Source organism: Homo sapiens, chromosome 8 (assembly GCF_000001405.40).
Source record: "Homo sapiens chromosome 8, GRCh38.p14 Primary Assembly".
Taxonomy (NCBI): domain Eukaryota; kingdom Metazoa; phylum Chordata; class Mammalia; order Primates; family Hominidae; genus Homo; species Homo sapiens.
The window spans coordinates 63,637,283-63,660,787 of record NC_000008.11 but is presented as its reverse complement, the minus strand read 5'-3'; the positions used below and the strand labels follow the sequence as shown (position 1 = coordinate 63,660,787).

Sequence of the window (23,505 nt, the reverse complement as noted above, 5' to 3'; positions counted from 1 at the left end):
CTCCTTTGTATCTCTAGTGTTTGACAATGACTGATACATGATGGTAAAACCTCAATACATGTTGAACTGAATGTGTTTAGTTTTCTGTGTTTGAGATCCCCTCTGGCCAGCATTTCTACAATGAAAAACAATTGAACTACAATTAAGGCGTTTCTGTTTTAATTTATTAGTATTGTCTAAGTAAATAGAATATTACAGAGAACCAGAGAATGTCTTATCTTAAGGATGCTTACTAGAGTTTTGATATAAACAAATTTTATTTTTCCTATACAGGATGTGAAAATTGATCATACAAAGTGGGTCATTCTAATCATACCCAAGTAAAACAGAGTGGAAAAGCCAGGGATTGAAAGCAGTCAGGCAAATAACATTGCTCCAAGAATGTAATTCTCTGCCAGCCTGGCTGCTGAAACTGCCTGCTATAACTTGAAACTAGTTTTATTTCATGGCTTCTGAAACAACGTGCTACAATTCTAAGACTAGTTTTACCTACCATTCTCATTTACCAGTCAGAGCTTTCTAGCTCCCCAAAACTTTGCTAGTGATAATGAACTTTCTTGAAAAACAGTACGTAACATTTCTCCTTTTTATAAAACCTCCAACCTTCTCTTTGTTCTTTGGATGTACCAATCAGTCTGCATGTATGCCCCAAATTACAATTATTGTATCCTAAATAAGACGTTAAATTTAGAGATTTGTCTACATATTTTATTTGGCTTTGTCAAATAATATAGTTTTTAGTAAATTTTCCTCTTGGTCATTCGATAGAAAAAATCAACAGACTTTTCTTATTTCCCTTCCTTCCTTCCTTCCTTCCTTCCTTCCTTCTTTCCTTCTTTCTTTCCTTCCTTCCTTGCCAGTATCTGCAGCTGAAGGAAATGAGATCATATTTAAATAGGTACAGGAAAGATACAGAAATCTATTTAATGAACACCAAGATTCTGAGAGTTACTATGTGATGAGGTTTGTGATAGTTATATTTACACAAACACGTTTACCATTGATATTTAAGCAAAATACACTGAAAGGAAATGCTTATAGAAACATGGCATTTCATTTCCATTTTCAAGCAAATTCCAAATTCCAAACACTTCTTCAGAAAAAACCAACATGAATTCCCATTCATTTGTTAGATTTGATTGCTTTTGAGAAAATGGCTAAAGGTTTTTGTTTTGTTTTAGTTTGTTAAGATGTAAACATGTGTCTACTTATACAGGTATAATTAAGAGAAGTATGCATAATTAAAATGACTTTTATAGCTTAATAAAAGATACTTTAATTTAAGTGCCTTAAGATAGAAGTACGATAGAATATAAAGCTAATGACAACTTTTGAAATGACCAAGACCAAGAAAAAGAAAACAAAAAGAAATCATAGAAATATTTTACACACACACACACACAATCATCATCATCATCCTTTCAGAAGAAATTTATTTTAAAGGAAAACTTTTTAATATTGTGCACATTTAACGAAATTAAGTTTTCAGGATAAGAATAAGCAAGAAAATTTTAAAATATGGGCTCTCCACAAACTTTACTTTGCTAAAACTACTCTTCACACAACCCCTGTGTAGTATAGTCTTGGACCAGTCTCATGGGGAGAGTGGTGAGACCATTTTGAAAGGAAAAAGAGAGTAACACACCCCAATACTCACGGTCCAAAGCAATCAAAAATTCCTTTCACTGCTCCTACCTGCCCCAATTCCTCTCATGGGATGCCTCCTCTTGCCTCCTATGACCTCAGGAACCTCTCCAGGGAGTGCTCCAGAAGCCCCCAGCTCCAGCTTGTCAGTTCAGCATCGCTATCCTTTTGCCTGGCTTCTCCTTGCTCTCAAGGACCCACAGCTTCACATCGTTCTTCTCCCCCTGTCCCCACTCACATCTAGAATACCACTGAATTTTCTCTCTATGCTCCATAATGGGCCAGCTTTACCCATTCTACACAACTCAGTTCAAATTCCTGGAACCCAGTGTGGGAAAGTCTTGAAGGGCAGGAAGACCCGATCTGCAGCCTGTTTTATGTTACAAGAGCAAGTCTTTGCATTTCTCTAGCAAGTAGGAAGGGCCCTTCACCTACCTGATTTGCCTCAGCTTCCTCAGGAAAGAACGCAAAGGTACTAAGAATCAGCACATTGGAGTTCTAGATGTAGGCTGAGGAAGGTAAAACAAATGTCAAACATAACTGCAAGGAAAAGATCCAAAAGAGGAATAAATACTGGCAGAGAAGGTCACAGACATCCATGTAACTCCTAGAACATTCTCTTTCTCCACCTGAGCTTTCTGCAAAATAAAATATTCCTAGGTGTGAAAAAATGTCAAGGTAGCCAGAAGGGCCCTTGAGATGTTTTGGTTTTTAAGAGGTGTTAACTCCAAAAGCTTGAAGAAGCTTCAATTCCTGATGCTTCTGCATTTCCTGAGACCATTGGGTTAAAGGGAGGGGGAGGCTTTTCTATGGCACTGAGCTCAAGAAATATACTACATCCCAGAAAAGCAGCAGCTGGGACAAATGGTTAGAATTGACTCCAGTAAAAGTATAGTTAATGTTTGAATTCCTTTTTGTGCTGCCCCTGCTTATCAGGAGGCAGGATTTCAAGGCAAAAGTCGTATCTATAAATTAAGAAGATGAATTTTTCAGGAACATTTACTGTGCTGCATCTCTTGGGGCCTCACCTTGTGACATGGACAGTGCTCAGAGCAGTGAGGCCCTTTAATAGTCTCCATGCAAAACGTTTGCAGGAGGAAATTATCTCCACCACAAATTATGAAAATGCATAACCTGAGTCCTTCTATGGCCCAGGGGAGAGATAGAGTGACAAACTTACAATTCATCAAGTCCCCCCAAAATGTCATAAAGTGTGGGAATAAATAAGTTTATAGTACAAACAAAGTCACCCCAATACAATACAGAATATTAATTAGTGGCCATTAATCTGGTACCTCTTTGAACTCTTGGACAACCAGCCTCCCAAATGTACAGCTCTCTCTGCAAAATACAGCACTTAGAGTTAGAATCCTCATAAACGAGCATGAGAGTGACCCAAAAACTTCTTCTAAAATTTAGATGAGATAATACAGTGCCTGGCACATAGGAAATGCTAAATAAATTGTTTTTTTCTGTTAATACCTATTTCCCATCATCCTGACGTTTTCTTTTCACACATGCTGCCGTAAAGGTCCCCAAACTCAAATTTACACGACCTCAATCCCCCAAATTCCTGATTCCATCACATACCGTGTCAGAAAGACCCATCACTGGTTTATTAAAGATAATGACTTCTACACCACCCTTGACACTGTGGATATGGGAGATATGAATCAGCTACAGTTATATTTTAATAGAAATGGAGATGCAAAACACAGATGTAACAGATGTAATAGCAAGTCAAGGAATGTCTACCTCAGCAGCCATTAAATTACATATACCAAAAACTATAATAGTATAGCACCTATCCATCTAGGAAACATTCCTTTACTTGCTGTTTGAAAGTAATGATTTCTATAGTTGACTTGTGTACAATTACTTCTTCAGTGACTGCAGGTCTGCTTAAAGTCATTTAAGAGCTCAGAAATGTCCCATTGAAGTGACCATAAGGCAGAGATTGCAGTTAGAATATTGTAAAATTGCCTCTAGAATTCAAGTTAGCAACATTTAACAAATTTCTTTTATTTAACAAATTTCCTAGCACCCTGTGCTAGGACAATAAAGACCAATAAGACAGGACAGAGCTTGCATCCAAGGAGCTGTGAAAGACAAACAAGCCAATAACTTCAACACAATGTTAAATCGAGTGTTAGGACAGAGACGGAACACTAGATCCAGCCATCACTGGAGTGAGGATCTGGAGATGTGACTGCTTGTAAGAAGCAGTGTATGAGAAGGGTCCTAGACAGTGAGTGACACTAACCAAGCAAGAATGTGGAGCAGAGTCAAGTGCCTGAGGTGGGATGGGAGGAAGAGAGGAGCAATCAGCAGGAGGCAGAAAGAGCTGGTCCCAGGGCATGGAGAACCTTGCTTTCTATATCCTATGAAAGAGCTTAGAGTGCATGCTATTATGGTGGGTAGAGAGCTGCTGGGAAGCTTAGGCAAAGGAATCACAGTTAAAGTTGTCACCTGGGTAGATGATTCTAGTAATCCATTTAAACAGATGTGCTCCTATAGTTAGGAAGTCATTAGAGCAGCACCAAAAGAGGGTAATAAAGGTCCAATTTAGGATAGAAGCTGTAGGTTTGGAGGAGAGAAGATACGCTGAAAATATATTGGAAGTAGAAAACACGGTACTGGGCTATTCATTGTATATAGAAGGTAAGGGAGAGAATGAATCCAGGGTGCTCTGCTGGAGTGAAGAGCAATGCCAACAAACATGACAGGAATACAGAGTCATTGTCTTAACTGATTTGCTGCCACAGAACATCAGGGAAATTACAGAATATTGATGAAAAGCATGAGATTTTGAGTCAAACTGGCTGAGCTCAAGTTCCACCTCCATAGCCTATTTAGAACATAAGTTAACTTGGGCATGTTCCTCAATCCTTGTATGCCAATTTGCTCATCTATAAAAAGGAGGCGATAATGGTAGTGCCCATTTTGTGTATTTGCTATGATGATTAAGTAAGTAAATATGTTTGATATACTTAGAATAGTTTCTGGGAAACAGCAAGCAATAAATAACAACATATATATTTTCAACAATGTAAATGAGAAGCACTCAAAGTGAGAAGATATAAGTGGTACAAAACCCAATCCCCAGGGAACACCGACATTCAAGGACACAGAGAGGAAGTGGGGCACGAGGCAGATCAAGGAGAGAAGGAAGACAAGCTGAGAGGTATCAGAAAGTCCAAAGGAGAAAGGAGGAGAGCGTTCCAGGGAGGAGGAGTGAGCAAGTGTCACGTGCAGTTGCAAGATTAAGTAAAATACAAATAGTAAAGGATTTTAAAGGTAGGAGGTAGGTATACAGTAAAATATAACTTCTCACACTCTTTTTTCAGATGAGGCACTGTTGTATTTTAAAATTAAAAATTATGACTACTACTCTCTAAATTATTATCAGTTCCATTTCTCCAAACCAGTAAAAGGCAAGAGAGCAAATGTGAGTTGGGACAATTGGCTAACTCTTTATGGAAAATAAAACAACTAAACTGAATCCTAATCACTCTTCATATCAAATTAAACCTCAGATGTATAAAAGATTGATATATAAATATGAGGCAAAAATATATAACAATAAGTGCAGGAACATTTTTGCAATCTAGGAGTAAAAAGGCACTTTCTCTAAACATGACAAAATGTTCAGACACTGTAAAGACAATGATTTCAACTTCTCTATACAAAAAATCTTCATAAAGAAACTTAAAAAATACGCTAGAACTGGAAATAAATTCGTGCTAAGACTTGCGATCATATGCCTAAGATCTCTAATATGGGAAAAAATTAACAAATTCATAAGAAAAATCCAAATGTCAGTAGAAAAAATGGACAAAGAACATGAGTGAGCAATTCACAAAAATGAAAGACAAATAAATAATAAATCTGAAAATATTTCCAATGTAAATTGAATTAATAAAGCAATTCTATCCATTACCATCTAGATAGGCAAAGATTAGCAAGAGAAAACTATCTTCTAAAGTCAAGGCTATTAGAAAAAATAGTCACTAACATTCACTAGTATTAGATGTATATATTATTTAAACATTTTAGGGATCATTTATCAATGACAATTAAATTTAATTGCAAATATCAGTTAACCCATCTCACAAAATACCTGACCACTATGCTTTAGAAATGCCAAGGTAATGGGAAATTAGTAAGGAGTGAAAACTAGCTGCAGACCAGAAAATCAAAGGAATTGTGACAACTAAATACAATTTAGTAACCTGGATTGGATTCTGGAACAACAGCAACAAAATGCATTAATAGAAGAAACATTCTACTGAAATCCAGAGCTTCATTAATAGTAATGTACCAATACTGGTTTCTTAGTTTGGCAACTATGCATAGTTTATTATATTATCTTGCTAATATAAGATGTTGATATTAGAAGAAACTGGGTGAAGGGTGTATTATCTTTGCAACTTTTCTGTATATCTAAAATAGTCTCCAAATTAAACCTTTGTTTAAAAAATAAATTAACCACTAATTCCCTTTCTGAAAAATGTATCCAATAGAAATATTTTAACAAGTATGAAAATATATATACAAAAATACATACTATACAGTAATTGTAATTTGAAGAAATCCAAATATTGTAGAAAAGGGTATTAAATAATTAAGTGAGGCTGCAGCTATAAAATGGAACATTATGCATCCATTAGAAAAGATGTATACTAGAATTATAAATACTAGCAAGAAAGTTATCTATGGTGTTTTGTTAAAAGAAAAAAGCAAGTTAGTATACAGAGAGATTGGAAGATTGATAGATAGATAGATACTTATTAATAGATTAGATAATGACATAGTTTGGGTCTGTGTCCCGCCCAATTCTGTAGTGGAATTGCAATCCCCAGTGTTGAAGGTGGGGCCTAGTAGGAGGTGACTGGATCATGGGAGTGGAGTTCTCGCGAATGGGTTGGCTCCATCCCCTGTGTGCTAATAGTGAGTGCGTTATCATGAGATCTGGTCATTTAAATGTCTGTAGCCCCTCCTCGCTCTGTCTCTTGCTCTTGCTCTTGCTCCTGCTCCTGTCATGTAAGATGCCTGCTCCCGCTCTGCCTTCTGCCATGAGCAAAAGCTCCCTGAGGCCTCCCCAGAAGCAGATGCTGCTATGCTTCCTGTACAGCCTGTGGAACTGTGGGCAAATTAAACCTTTTTTTTAAATAAATTACTAGTCTCAGGTATTTCTTTATAACAGTGCAAGAGCTGACTAATACAGATAGATAGATAGATAGATAGATAGGTAGATAGATAGATATAAACTTATTTATCACTAAAACATATGCGCATATATGTATTACATATATGTATTATATGAAAAATCTGGAAACATACATAAAATTTTTTTAAGAGGTAGGAAAATGGATGACTTTCATTTTCCAAGGTTTTCAGTATCTATTATTTGAATTTTTTCCATTGAACAGTATCCTTTAGTTATCAGATTGTACAACCGTACATGTTTCTTTTTAAAATTGGTTTTGTAATGAAAAAAATAATGAACAATTAAAAATTGAAGCATGTTTGAGAATCCCAGTTTGGGCATTGGCTAGCTATATATGTTTGTGCATGTGGCTTAATTTTTCTGGCCCCAATAACAGGAGGAAGTGGGATTTGATTACTTCTTAAGATGTTTCCCATATGTAAAATTCTATTAGTCTATGGTTTTGAAGATTAGGTGATTCTTCCACTCTAACTGCAGAAATTTATGTATTTGCTCTCACAGTATCTTTGTGAGGGGGTTATAAATGTTATCTTTTAGCAGACAGAGCAGGAGGTATGGAATATAAACAGGATCTATTAACTCATCTACTCAAGGAAGTTCATGAAAGCAACTTGAGACTCTTATATTCAATTCATAATGTACATAGCAGGTTTGCTGGAAACACCTTAGGTTACTTGAAACATTTATCTTTTAAAAAATAATTTAACCAAATGACTGGACAACATCAGCCTGAGAGACTCCATATACTCTCAGTGGTTAATGGACATTTCCAAGGCATCATGATTCAAACTTTCTTTAAACTCTTTTATGCACTTTAATGAGTTGTTCCTAGTCAACATTGAGCACACTCATTACCAAGGAGAATTCAAACACGTTCTTTCCATTCCTAACAATTATATATTTTTCTAAAATCTATTCAGTTATTGTAGGCAGTGTAGGTTTATCAATTACCTCTCCAAGCTGTCCATTATCTATTTTGAGAGTATAATTTGTTTCCCGCATAGAATATGTGTTAGCAGCATGATGCGTTTTACATTTGTAATTAATTTTGAACTGACAAAGAAGGTAGGAAAAATTCTCCCATAAATAAAAGTAATGAATGCAAGTGTTTAAACAAAAGGTCCTAGTAATTTCCAGCGACTTAAAAAGAAAGAAAAAAACTCAATCTGCTCTATCTTTTAAACTAAAAATACCAAGATATCTTTTGTTCCTTCTTCATGACACATTGGAGATTTTGAAATTCTAATACTAAAAAGGATAGTAAATGACAGGTAGGCATACTACATTGATTCTGTGAATAAGAAACTCTTTACTTCTCAATAAAATTAATAATACCAGTTTAACTATACATGACTAATTGGCTAGTTTGCACAAAGTTTTATCAGAAAATCATTTTTGTAGACATAAATTCCTACCCATGATGAAACTAAATATTTTGCTACTCGTAGCACTTTAAAATGATAGAGAGCTTGAAATTAAATTACACTAAATGCCTTTATATTTATTCAGCATTAAACCTTATTTTCCTTACTGTCATTCTGCCAGCGTGATATCATCGGAGTTGAAGAGGGATGCTAATGCTATTTATATTACACTGCACTGTCCTCTAATTGACCTTGTTTGTGCAATGGAATGGCTGCTTTTCTCAAGCTGCCAGCCCTTTATTGCAGCATTTTGACCATGCACTAGTGGCTCTTTGTGCTGCTGCTGAGTTCAAGAATCAATACTGGATTCCCCACAGCCAATAAAGGCAGCTGACAGCATGAATTAACTGAGTGTGGCCAGTTGCATGGAGGGCCATTGTCTTTAAGGAAAATCTGGACGTGATTACCAGCCTCCATCTCTGAGTGAAGGTTTTAATGCAAAGTGCGAGGTTGCTGTAATTTAATTTTGGCCTGCTGCTCTGACACACTCCCCTTTGCCACTGCTTCATGGTATCCAAGCTATTAATGGCTGCAAACCAAAACACATATGGAGACAAAGGCAAATACTCACAGTCATACAATAGCAGCGGTTTCACCTGACTTGACCATTCTTTCCTGATAGTATTCTTATAGCAGATTCTGTTTCTTCAAGGCAGTCTTCCTGCTATAGGAATAAGTCATACCAATGTTAAAAATTAAATGTGCTATGACCTATACATAACTGAAGCTTTCTATGTGGCAGAGTTGAAAAATCTGCACAAAGAACTCATTGCCTTTGATTAGACTGTCAAAATTATGGAAAAATGCATTTACACTTCCTTATCTCCCACACTTTGCAAGATGATTTCCACCCCCTCTACTCCACGGAACATATTTTCCCCTGAAACAAAATCCAATTGATTCTATTCAGTCTTTATCTTCTCAATAGCATTTGATACTGAACACTTTCTTCTTCACAAAACATTCACATTTCTTGGGTTCTGGTTCCTGTGATCCTGTCTCCTCAGTGTTGGTGTTCCTTGCATTTTATCCTAGGCCTTCTTTTTGTCTCACTTTAATTTGCCCTCCTCCATGTAAAACCTCATTCTTTTTCTTACCTGCAATTATTATTATTATTATTTTTTTTTTTTTTGAGATGGAGTCTCGCTCTGTTACCCAGGCTGGAGTGCAGTGGCATGATCTCTGCTCACTGCAAACTCTGCCTCCTGGGTTCACGCCATTCTCCTGCCTCAGCCTCCCTGGTAGCTGGGATTACAGGAGCCCGCTACCACGCCTGGCTAATTTTTTTGTGTATTTTTAGTAGAGATGGGGTTTCACCGTGTTAGCCAGGATGGTCTCGATCTCCTGACCTCGTGATCCGCCCACCTCGGCCTCCCAAAGTGCTGGGATTACAGGTGTGAGCCACCGCGCCCGGCCCATACCTGCAATTATTTTTAATTGCCATATATTGACTCCCAAATCTTTATCTCCAGCTCAGATCCACTAATAAGTTTGGCTGTCCCATCAGTGTTTTGAGCTCCACATACCTCAAACTGAATGCATCATCTCCTGTTGTGTTTTCCACTTCAGTAAATTGCCATCTGTTGCATATGCAGGAACATGGACCTTACCTTTGAATCATCTCTTTTCTTTACTCTCCATACCCATCACTTATCAAGTCTTGTTAATCTAACTCCTTAGTCTCTCCGTTTATCCATCCACTAATCTCCATCATTTCTCCTGCCCTAACACTAGTCAGGAACTCCATGTCTTCTTGCCTTCAAGGCCTTCATAACCAGATCCCAGCTTTGGCCCTGCCTCCACCACTGAAATCTCCACCCTGAAACTAACCTTGTCTTTCTAAAAATAAAATCTATTCACTTTCCTTTTCTGCTTACAACATTTCAACTACTTCACACTATGACTTTACCTCTTCAGCTTTACATTTTACAGTGTTTTCTCTTTTCCTCCTTCCCGATGACATACATATTTGTTCTGCTGCCACTAACTGAGTGATAGTGATTTTAATACAAGGACATGGACCACAGCAGAGACTTAGTTTGTAACTGGAACAAAGGAAAGCACCTATCAGACACTTGACTGCAATCATGACGCTCTGTGAGGTGCAGCTACTGCCTAAGCTTCCACAAGTATGTTAGACAAAAGAAAAATCCACAGAATAACAAAGTGGGATTTATGTAAGCCTTTAAAAGGGGAAATGACATGTCATTTCTTTCTTTATCAAAAGACCTATATTTCTGAGAGAATTTTGGTATTGAAAACATCAGTTCTGTTTATAACAAGCAATGTTCTTCGTCGAAATTAATTCAAGCAGAGTTATTCAAGGGACAGTGTATTATATACAAACCATTTAACTTGAGCTTTAAAACGATTTTTCATGTCTGAGAATTATCAAGAAGATACCAGTTTGGATCAACACTTTCCATAAACTGGAACAAAACCTGTGGTTTTAAAGGCTCTTATCTTAAATGCAAGCAATCTGGGAGACTCTTAAAGGCACATTGTCTGATCTATTCCTATTCTCACATTTTGTTGCTACCATTAATTTTTTAGAAATATTTTATTATATTTTCATTGTTCCCAAAATGAACATCAGGGCCATAAAAACAAGAATTAAAATATATAATTATTACATTCCCACTTCTGGAAAGGCTGAAATGATGATAGTCATGCTACAGCTACCTCAGCTGATTCCTTGATGTGTAGACATAAGCCAAGACATAGGTGTGTTCAGCTTCAAATCATCATGTGGTGGTCCTCCTTGGATCCCTGAAGCAAAGATGTGTGTTGCTCTCCTATCTTTTCTCCCTACCAGTTCTCTCCTTTTTCATAGCTTCCCTGGCCAGAGAATCTTCAACGATTTATAGCTTGGCAGCTCATCATCATTTGAGTGGTCTGCTGAGAGTAAAAGAGAGAGGTAAAAAGGAAGCACACACAATTCCCTGTCCTTCTGCCTGCATCGCAAAGTCATAGCTTGGAGGAAGATTCTGAGGCTACCCCCATAGAGCTGAGGTTGCTGCTCATTATAATGTATGACGAGACGTTGAGCAGGGGTGGGAGGGCCACTTGGCAATGCACAGATACATTCACTTTGCCATCAGTAGACGAGGAAACCAGCCCAAGGAGGAATCACCAAGTACATATGCAACAAGCCACATCCTAAGCCCACCCTCGCCTATGCTGTTTGGAGCCTGGGGGTATTGAAGTGTGGCAACTAGCTCCTGACAACAGCACTGAGAAAAGAACATGGACATGAAGGAGACAAGGTCTTTCCCTCTCCATACTCAGAAAGACAGATTTGTGTGGCCATCCTCAAGACTTCAAAGTGATTAAACCAATTAAGTATCTTTGCCATTGATCTATCTTACCTAAAACAATTCTTCTGAGTAGCAAGATAATTTTTACCTAGTTTCCTTCATCAAAAGCGACATTCTCCAGATAAGATCTGCCTAAAAATATATTTCGTATGGTCAGCATATGTTCTACCTTCCTGAAATAACCCTACATTTTTAATAATTGTGGTGGCCTGGTGTCCCAGCCTACTAAAAGAGCAATAGCACCTCACTTCCTTAACACTACAGGTTTGGATGGGTCGTGGGAGAAGTGGTGAGCCATTCATCAAAGTCCTCACTATGGGCATGCCTTCAAGACTTGCTGTATACCCAAACCTGAAACTATGTCTCCCCGTTCTCTTTTTGGCAATATGCAAAAGTCCTGTTTCATTATTTGTTTATCTGTTCCCCACCCTTGTCCCCACCCTAAAAGTGATGTTTCTATTAGTACACCAATTTCACTGCTTTTTATCTTTCAGTCCAAGCCTCCGAGTCAATCATCTGGCCACAGCAAAAGACCAGGGAGCCTTCTGGATGTTCTTGATATATGAGAAGCCTACATGGCATCAGCTGGGAAAACTGCAGTCAACATTGGAATAATCAAAAGTGACCACATGCAATAATAGTCTGTGTGACAGTGAAGGGGGGACACCAGGAAGCAGGTGTTCTATATGACAGAGGATCAATACTCCTGTTGAGGAGATAAGATAGATTCCAAATGGAAAATAAACTCATGGAGAATACGAACAGGAAGACAAGAGAAGGGGAGGGAAAGTGAGACAAGCCTGCAGGAAACAACACAACAAAGGGAGTGTGGGGGAGTGTGCAAGGCCCACAGCTGACTGGCTGATGAAAACTGACTGCATGAGAGTGTGGGATAGGACAGTCAATACGAATTTGCTTCCATGACAAGGAAAGGGGACAATGCACACATTTAGAAGCTTGAGCTATACAAATTAGCTAGGATCTTCTACATTCTAATTTAACAGGCTTGCAGAAAAATTTCATCATTTGTAACGTGTTGACGGCCTCAAAAACTTGATTTTGTTTAGCAAGGCCTAGTTTTTAGTAAGAAAACAAGGACAACCCATATTTCATTTCTTTTGAAAATATATTTCAATGAAAAGGGAGATGGATAGAGGTAAACCTAATTTGCATTATTTAGTTCAAAAGAAAGGTTGCTTTGATGCCACTGTGTATATTTGCAGCGCTTCCTTTCTCCCTTGGGAGCTGGTGTGTATTAACATTCCATTCCTCTTTTTCATTATTGCTATCACATAAATTAAAACACACACACACACACACAGGATTATCTGATAAAGCCATAACAGCAACCTTCAATATGAGAACTTCCTCCAAAAATTCAATGCTACACATAAATAAAACTACACAGGCAAATGTTAAATAAAATTTCATTCCATTAAAAAAAGAGAAAACATTGGAATTTCCTTATTCTCTGTTTCTATTGTGGGTTGCGTGAATCTGTGTTTTCAAGGTGTCACACTATTCTGTAGTCAGGCCTGGGGATATTTCAGACCTCATGCAAACGATGAAACACTGTGTTATCTACAGCATCATCTTGACTCTGTCCTTTTATTCTTTATAAGTGAACGTCTCAATGCTTTGTTGTTCCTATGCCAGGGGAGTAGTGGAGCATTTCATTTTCCAACGGCTTGTGAAAACACAGGGGGAGGATTTTTCTCCCAACCCCTGAAAGCCTAGGTGGATATTAGAAGTCAAGGGCTGTGATCTTCCTAAAGAAACAGCTTTATAAACCTCTAGCTATTCCTGCAATGCAGCAGATGTGTGGGCTGCTGCCAAGCTCCAGCTCACTCTGGAAAATGCTGACATGAGGGCTGCAACTCTGCAAGGAACGAAGGAATGTTTACACAGAGCCCTCAGGGTCGATCAGATGTTCTCCTTGGAGCGCCCTTCCAGCGTATATCTTCCTCCCTGCACCTCCACGTTGCTTACATGCTCTCGCTTTCCTGATCTTGCTTTCTCTGCCTTGATTATGAACTCCATGAGGGCAGGTCTGTGTGTGCCTCTCACAGTGATCACAGAGCTGGGCACAAAGACGGAACTCTACAACTATTTGCTGGGTGAATAAATGGAATAAATAACCTTGAAGAAGCCTCTTAAAGGAAAATCACTTCCTGAATGTGCCAGGTAGCCCTGTGTCCCTAAAGGAGGACATAAAATTGAGAACGGCCACTTTCCCATCTGCCTAGAATGGAAGAAAAGTCAGTGTGCTCATGTTCCCCTGATGCCGGGCTCCTTCATGGCTTCCTGCGAACCATTTGGAGCACTCAGCCTGTGTTTCTCAACATAGATCTCAGTTGCATGCTGCCCTGTGCTGGTCTTTGTTTCCTGACCAGAATTCCTTTGCTGCTAAGGATAAATCTTAGCAGTCGTGTGAGCAGCTTGTACATCTCTCATCCTAACCAGTGAGTGCAATGCTGCTTACCAAGCTGAAATCACAGTTGAGCTTTTTCCTCTTGACCCTGTTATTTTAATATTTGGTGTGTAATCAAAAGTACAGACGATACCTGGATTATTACAGCTCCCCTCACTCCAGGCCTGATATAAATGGCTTGGGGAGACTGTGTGCCCCTCCTACTATTCCCTTCCTCCTGCTTCCCCAGTGACCGCCTGCCCAGCTGAAAATGTGACAATGCTTGATTCATGGCTGAGTCGTTCTAACGAATAGGGCTTTTGCTGTGGTCTGCACATCTGCTGTATCCTAAGAAGAGCCCATGTTTTATCAAGTCTTTCCCTTAGGAAGATCACAAACCACTTTATGCACAATCATCTCTTCATTCAGCCCTGTCACTTGGGAAGTGAAGACCACAGGGAGCCTTAGATGAAGAGGCTGTAATAACTAACTAAAAATCTGGCTGGTACATTGAGGGTTACTCCGTCCTCCAACAGAACATGCCATATGCTCCTCTGTAAGCACAAGCGACTGAATCCTTGAATTTATTCTTTATCTGAAAGATAGTTAAAATGAGTTGTCAAACACTTTTGGTTCAGTATCATAGTCAAGACTCCTTTTCTTTTTTTCAAATGCCGTTTGGGTAATTAGGACATTCTTAAGTATCTTTAATCTACTTATCTATTGAATAATTTTCAAATTTAACTGTCAGAGCCAATCAAGGAAGATATCCAATATAGAAATGCCTTCAATCATTAAACTATGCATTTAATCCCCAGAGCATTTTAGATAAACGTTTTTGTGTGGGGCAGGTGAACAATGATGACAGTTCTCCCTACGTGAACAAACATGTGAACATGTACGCACATACACTGATGTGCACACATGTGCATGCACACAAAAATACTTCTAACTTTCTGAAAATTGCTGCAAACTGTTATTTTATGTCACAGGCTACAGTGTATGTAAACTGAGAATAACATTCTTTGTGGTTTAATAATGAATTAAATGAAAAGAATCAGTTTTCTTTTTGCCCAAACTCCAGCCTCTGTTTGTTCATCCAGTGTGGGTTTGCAGTGACCCCTGCTTCCCAAAGTCTTAATTATGTAATCTCATTCTCTGTGAACCACCTGTGAGGACCTCACCATGGGGACGCTAAGACTTTGTGGGAAGTGTCAAGCGTGTTTAAAAAGGAAAATTATTTTTCACTCCTTTAAGGCTATCAAAGATAGAAAAGGAGTGCTTTCCTGTGTTTTAATGTATGATCCTGGAGATAATTCACTTAGCCAAATAAGGAAGCTTTTCTGATTTGACTTCTGTGTGTGCTTGTTGTTCACTTGAACCCAACCACCTGCTGTCATATACAAATTAGTTACATGGGATTTTTTGTTCTGTTCCTTAATTCATCAAATCCCATCATGATTCCTGAAAAAATAAATATTCTAAGAAAAAATTTGGAAAATGTCTGCTTACCTCTCTTTTATTGAATAGAGAACAACAAAAGACTTGGCATGAACAAGGGACTTGCAAATGAAAATGTGGCTTTATAATAAGTTATTCACAATCTGGGTAACAAAGTGCACCCCAGATGAAATTTATTGTTTAGAAAAGTGGATATTTTAATTGATGCTTTGAACTCAAATTACATAAGCATTTCCAGGCACTTTATCTAGACACCTGGAAAGGCTTTTGGAGTCCATAAAATTTATTTTCCTTCACTTCTAAACATCATTTATTTTTCTCATCTATACCTTTAAAGAGAAAAGGAAACAAATAAACAAAAATAAAAATTACTAAAGGACGAACGTAACAAATGAGTCCCTGAACAGGAATGACTATGGAAAGCAAACTTTCACAGTTACTTACTTTCTTTTCTTGTGTGAAAAACAAAAACAAGTTGAAGACATTTTCACTTGAATGCTACAAAATGACTTGTATTCTCAAAATTATCAGAATGATTTTGTGTTCTCAGAAGTATCAAACAATTCATAGAAAAATTAGAACTACTAACCTGCTGGTAATGATTATCTTAAAGAGTGAAAAAGAGACAACTGAGGAGAAAACTGTTCTGATTAAAAATGTCAGCGTCGAAGAACCAGGAGACCAAAATGGCCCGTATGTCTTACAGCCAGATTTTTTAAATAATAATTTAGCAACCTTGATCTCTAGAGTTTTGCCTTTTTATTCTAAATGCATTGTATGTATTTTCATTGAATCTTCCTTTTTCGTAAGGTTTAAATTAAATTTTCTTATATAAAGCTACCGAACTGTACAAATGACATTTGTTTGGTTAACGTCTCTCACAGGCAGGGACTCTGTGACCTCTGCATATTTCTGTCAGGTATCATTTAGGTTACAGTTAAATTTGGATTAGGATCAAGGAGAGACTCGATTTCACTGTGACGATGAGTCCCATTTGCAGATAATTAGTGTGAACTAATTTTTTTATAGGTATGGGATGCCATGATAAGAAGGGGAGAAAGAACCACAGAAGTGACTACACAGAGCAGATTTTATTTCTAAAATAAAATAAAGTACATTTTCAATAATTCTCTGTCATACTCACCTATTTGACATTTATTTATTTCATTATTTACCATATTGTATGTTTTCAGTTACCCATATTAAACCAATTTAGATTATTGTTGGAGAAAACTGGGTTGATAATTTAGATTACCACAATTATTATTTCCCAAATATAATATATTCAATTAGTAGCTAATATAGACAGTTATAGTAAGATTATAGTTATAATCTCTACTTATTAGGAATGTATTTAGCTGCAAGTAACAAAGCATTCAACTACATTCAACTATAATATTTTAACGAAATAGTTTTGTTCCACACAAAAATACAGAAGTCAAAAGATAGGCCTTTTTTGTGTGTGTCTTCAGCAGCTCCGTGGTGCCAGGCCCAACATCTCTGTTCATCAACTTACAGTCACAAAACAGCTGCACAGCTCCAGGTACTACATCTGCATTTAAAACAGGAAAAGAGGTGGAAAGTGATAGCCAGACATACCTGGGTGTTTTAATCAGAAAGAGAAAAGCTTTTCTGGAAACAATGTTAGCAGACTCCTTAAATTCCATTGGCAGTCCTTATGCCATAAAGACTGAGAAGGCAAAGAAAACAATTATCACCACTGGCTTTGACAATTGTGATCCAAATCAGATCCAGGGTGGCAAAGTACATTATCACTTTGAACAAATGTGAGGCTCTGTTAGAAAAGAAGAAGGGAGAAAGGATGTTGAGCAAGCAATAAAATTGCCTGTCCTACATTCATAAATAGAAATCAATGATTCACTCACTCATTGCCAAAATCTGCAACCTGGCATGCAGGCTCCAATCTTCAAATTCAAAGTACTTATCACACTGACAAGTCAAGCACATCATCTTGGCATGGAAAGAAGAGTGCTTCCTACCGATTTCCATGGGGTCCTTAATATTTATCATAAGAACTGAGACTACATGACAGCAAAACTTAACCGATGTAAAGTTTTCTTATTGTTCTGCCATCATTTGTAAAGAGCAATAAGGTGTAAAACAACAAGGTGCAGATTATTTGCTTTGCCGTATAGTGCCCAGGTCATTGTCAATGGCTGTTAATCGAGTTGACAGTACTTAATGGGAAATTCATAGACACTGCATAAGACAAATCTGGGCTTGCATCTAATTTCTTCTCTTCCTTTCTACCTGATTGTTGGTAGGTTACTCATCCTCTTTCTTCCTCATTTTTCTTGCCTGTGCATGAGCATAATCATCCCTAACTTGTACCAAAGCCTTGAGGATGGAATGGATAAGGTAGATGAGCATTCAGGATGCATCCTGGTGTACGCTTCTGTTTCTCTCCCTCAAAATGGAACTTACCATGTGAGCCAACCAAGAACTAAGGAGAACTCCTGTCTCTCATGGGATTTCAGTGCTGGTTTTCAATCTTTTCTGTAAGCATACAGATAAATCCCTTCATTTCCAATGTTACAAAAACACTTTTCTTTTACTGAGATAAAGAATTGATTGAGACCCTTCCAAGTTTAAATCCATAGTCCTCAAAAGTAGAAAACAGCCTTGACAATTCTTATAATTTAGAGTTTGGAAGTTTATAAAAACATATATCTCAGTCGCCAGAGATGAAGGAGGGGAAGTGAGTTACTGTAAAGGAGAAGGTGAGCAGGTTCTTAAATTGCAGTCATCTTTCCAGGCTGTGTAAGATCCTTCTGTTCTGACATTTTCAGCCCTCATTAAAGCCGCCAATCTCTCCCTTCTCTCATCTCTTTCTTTCTCTGAGCTTATTTTATATCCAATCTAACTTATCAGTTTTTAAATGCTTTTATATATGTTATTTGCTTTCTCCGCTTCAAAAATGGGTACTAACAACACCTTTTTCAGTGGAATTCTGTGGAGCAGAGAGGGGAATAAATGAGATAATGCTGGTAAAAGTGCCTAGCACAGTGCTGGACTCATTTTCAGTCCTTCATAAGTATGTGTGTGTGCGTGCGTGTGTGTGTGTGTGTGTGTGTTTGCTGACTACTTACTCATCAGAACTTTTCAGAGTAATTTTCATCATTCTTTGAATAGTTTTTGGGTTGCTATAAATTTCCAACTTTTTCCATTTTATTCATTATAGTCTTTCAGAAATCTTCCCGAGGGATATAAGGTACCAACAGATGCTCTGCCTACACTGAATAAACATTTCTAAACCATTACATTTATTTTTAAAATCTTTTTTTATCTATCTGTAAAATTTTGTCTACAACAAAGACTGCTAAAGTTAAATCAATGGGGAATAGACTTGATGTGACTTTTGTCTGGAAATACCTCCTAAAAACAGCAAAATCCACTTCTCTACAGGAAAGTTGTGATGAAAAGACTTGCAGGGCAGAACTGATTCTCATATTAAAAAACTAACACCCTGCATGCACCAGTAATTCCTTCCCAAACATTCATTTTATGATGGGTAGACACAGTCTTAATGGCAAGTTAAAACTGTATTTGAGGGATTGTTTTTGAAAATTGGAGGCACATTAGGCATGAATCTCATTTATGTAGAACTAGAAAGAAGAGCTATGCTACTTACAAAGCATTAGAACAAAATGCGTATCATAAATAAAATAAAAAGTCAGACTTAGGGTTTTATGGCTAAATTGATTATGCTGATTTGGGTACCTTTTCTTTCCTGTTCTGAAAAATATTTAAGTAATAAAGTTTTAATTGCTATGTGTACCAATTAAGAGTTCTAGGCAAAATCTTTCCAAGCAAATAATAAATGATTCAAAGCTATAAATAAAATGAAAATAGGCTAAAATAGCAATGATAGACTGTACATACAAATGAGCACACTGGGGGCTTCCCTGAAGAAGAAAAGAAAAACCCCCCTTTTTTTTACCATCATCACTTTTTAATGCAGCGAGGGAAAAGGCAGCGTTAGCAAACAAAAATTGCTTTTCACTTTGCCAACAAGATAAATAGAATGAAATTTCAATGAAAATGACTGGAAAAATGCATGATTGATGCTAAATTTGCAAAAATTCCAAAGATATGGGTACAGTTTGTCATAAAAATGATGTCAAAATCTTTTTGTTTTGTCAGAAAAATTATGCAAAGAAAAAAAATTGCCAATTTTCCTCCTCCAGCTCTAGTCCTTGCCTATTCTAGAATCTGTTTGCTTTTTGAAGAAAAGAGACAGGAATATTTTTACTTTCAAATCTTTTATTTTACTAATCACTAAGAACATGTAGCAGATATGTTTCTGTGGGAGCTTTCATGAAGATAATGGGCCTGCAGCTGTCCCTCACCGCATCAGGGGTACACCAAGGGGAAAACTGCACATGAAAGCCCTTTGCAAACTTCAAAATGGCCCCAGAATGTTCGTTATCCTTATTAGCTCAGCGTTGAGTTAGATACATTCAAATACTGTTTGTGGGATGGAAAATTGGATTCTAAACTCTGAATCAAAGGGAAATTAGATATCCTCAGAAGTGAGGATGAAAGATAAGAAAAACAAACATGATTTGACTAAGATTTGTAGATTAGGTCTATACTCAGTCCTTATCTGTTATAACAACAGTAACTAACTATTTTTTTAATAAATCAAAAGACCATAGACTGTAGTATGCCTGAAACTTCTCTAAATGCCCAGCCCTTAAAATGTAGAAAATCTAGCATAGGAAGTCTATAAATACATTTTCAATAAATGAATGACTGTCTACTAACGAAACAGGCGTAAGACTGGATTCTTTACTTGCAGTATCTTATTTAATCCTTACTTTAAGATATAAAATAAGCTTGATGCTCAATTTTTTATTTAAAAAAACCTGAAACTTGAAAAGGTGCTGGATAATGTGCCAGGCACTGTTCTAATTATTTCACATAATTGTATCATTTAACTTTCACTGCAATTCCATGGGGTAAACTCTAATATTCTCATTAAATGACAAGAAAACTGACACAGAAAGAAGTAAAACTACTTGCCCAACAAAGAGGCTCACTAAACAAGATTTTAATCCCAGCAGTCTGCCCTTAGAGACCTTACCCCTAACATTAATACTATGCTGCTTGCCCTGTTGCACACACAGCAAGAATGTGGTAGAAACAGGATGCTGTGTTATATACAACCTTGCTTGACTCCAAAGCATGATTTCTTTCCATCCCATCTCCAGAAGAGCACTTCAAAAAATTCCTCAAAAAGAATGTTGGAGCAAAAGAAAGTTGCAGGATTGGGAGATCTCTGTAGAAAAAAAACTGAAGTTCATAAGCTCAGGGGTCAGTTTTATTAAAGGTGCCAGGGAGCCAAACAGGCAAACAGGGTTGACATGAAGGAAGTTTACCAGGCCCAGAAGAGGGTCTTCATTCCATTATTTAGGAGCAGATGACATTGAACTCATTAATGCAATTGGTCCTTAAGAGAAAATCAAGTATAAGGGCAAAACAAATGTTTTACAACCCAATTTCTATACCAATGTAAGCTAGATATATGAAGCTAGAAAGATGTCACTGTTAGAGAAGGCAGTGTGGTTTAATTCTGGTATAGGAACTATTAGCTATATTTGAAAATCATATATAGCATGTCTTGTTTGGCAGGAAAGAGCATGTGATGTTCAGTTTTGTTTAACTTAAAGGCCCTTCTGGAAATCAACTATAATCTTCAGTTGGGCCATAGTGTTGCCTTCTGTTAAAAAATTAAATAAATACAGCTTGCACTAGAGCAAAGGTCATTAAAAATTCAATCATTTTGTTTTCAAATTAGACATAAAGTTCTTCTTTGAAGAATCAAAAAATCATAACAATGATTTTTTCATAACAATGAAAGGGACTTCAGAGACACAATTAACTCAACCCAGTGTCTTTAAACCCTATTTCCTCTAAACTTCTTTGAACTAGTTCCACTGAAAACTCCTTCAGTCAACTAGTCCATTGCATATTCATTGTAACAATAATATTTGTGAATAATACTATGTGCCAGGTACAGCATTACTTGAAATGAAAATAAGAGGAGTACAAAACCACATGTATACTTTTTACATGATTCACATATCCTTAAAATTTTACCCAAATGCTTCATTTTCTGTGTGACAGATAGATGGATATAGATAGATAGATAGATAGACAGATAGATAGATAGATAGATAGATAGATAGATAGATAGATAGATGATAGATAGATAGATGACAGTAGGTAAGTAGGTAGATAGGTAGGTAGGTAGGTAGGTAGGTAGGTAGGTAGCTGGATTTCCACCACCTTTCTTTGTCTGTTATGACATTGACAAACTTGAAGAAAATCATCTCTTTTTTTCCCCATTGAGACATTCTTCATTTTGGGTTTGCCTGATGTTTCCTCACGAATAACTTCAGTTACATAATGATACATAAGTGATGTTGTGTCCTTCTCAAGTGTTCATACCTGGAGGCCCATGAAGTCACATTACCTTCATTGGTGATATAATTTTGTATCACACAGTCAAGATTTGTACTATTTCACCACTATATAATTACTATTAGGTAAAAACTATGTTGAATAGAATTACAAAGAAGTATGTAATTTATATGGCTATATTATAAAAACTATGTGCAAAGTCTATAATTATATATAACTATCATATTCTATATATACCAACCACATAGTTACTATTATATCAGTACTACTTTTTATCTTACAACTATAAGAAATCTGTGGGGACACACTTTAATGCCATGCAAATATCTTGCTCTTCATCAAAATTTCTCTCTGGATTGATGTTTCTTTTTGAATCTAATCCTTAGTATGAGGTTGCAAAATGTTGATTTTCTAATTGCAGTACTTTCTCCATATTTACCAGCAGGCACTTGGGATTCTACTGTAGGCAAGAGATCTCCCTTTTTTCCCACTTATTTATTTATCTCTATTTTTGGCAAGGATTCACAAATTTTTATTTTTTCAATAATTTATTACTCTATCTAATTGTCTTGGTGCTCAGATTGTCTTAGATGTGGCCAGTGGGAACCCCTTCAAGCTGTTTCTGTGTCTGTGTCTGTGTAATATGTCTCATGTCTCATTCTTTTTTTTTTTTTTTTTAGCATTTTCTCACTTTCTGGAACAACAAGGTATTCCCAGCTCACCTTGTGTCTACACTGCTTCAGCCACGGAATCAGCATTTTGTTGAGGAGTCCTAATTCCTTTCTGTAGGGAATAGTATTAGAGAACAGGATCTAGTTGCGAGTATGATAAACTTTATTTTCAGTCGTTTATCATTCCTTAATGTAGAATTAAAAAAAAAATAGAGCTGTCAGGAGTCTTCCACCAATTAGACCATGAACTCTTTCCCATGTGTGTGGGATTTTAGTGAGACCTTGAAGAAGCTATAGGAGGGTAAAGGAAGAGGAAGTAATGGAGATGAGAAAATAATAAAGAGCTCTCTGAATCCCATTCCTGACTTTTTCAGGAAAAATCTCACCTCTAAACATCAAGAAGTCACTTTATAAGTCCTAAGCTAAATGTTTTATGAAGAAATTTCATCCCAGTTTGCTTTCATTCTATAATTTTTATTATCATTTCTTAATGTTTACTCAGTGAAAACTAGTTCTATAAGATCCACTTTATAAAAATAAAAAAAAGCATTATGGTCAAATAAGTTTTGGCAATGATGCTTACCAAAATCCCCTACATAAATTCACAGTACACATTAGCGAGTTTTAAAGGCACTGATAAATCCTGCATTAGAGACACAAGTGGTTAACTTTAATCCAATATTTCCACTCTTACTTGAATCTCCCTAATAACATCTGTCATCATCCTTCAGAGCATTATTTGGAAATGCTAATTTGGATATTTGAAGGTAGTAGTAAGTTGCCTTTAAGGTAATTCTTTTCCATCATTTAATCTTACACAACCCTCAGAGCATCTCTCTATTATAGCTTTTAGTAAATTGTTTTGTAACCAGTTATTTGCTTATCAAACAGTTGTATTTGG

At 36.9% G+C, this 23,505-nt stretch overlaps 1 long non-coding RNA gene across 1 annotated transcript in view, besides 1 other annotated feature; it reads right to left on the bottom strand.

Moving 5' to 3' along the window:
* LOC124902063 (uncharacterized) overlaps window positions 1–9,140 on the bottom strand; it is a 41,294-nt gene extending 32,154 nt beyond the window's left edge. The window contains exon 1 of the long non-coding RNA XR_007061177.1: window positions 8,870–9,140. This is a non-coding gene — a long non-coding RNA (uncharacterized LOC124902063). The remainder of the gene's footprint in view (window positions 1–8,869) is intronic.
* Window positions 7,373–9,074: an enhancer, noted in NCBI's record as "VISTA enhancer hs1239". NCBI's record gives its function as "enhancer in: neural tube[5/7]" and the evidence as "EXISTENCE:transgenic organism evidence [ECO:0001131][PMID:17130149]".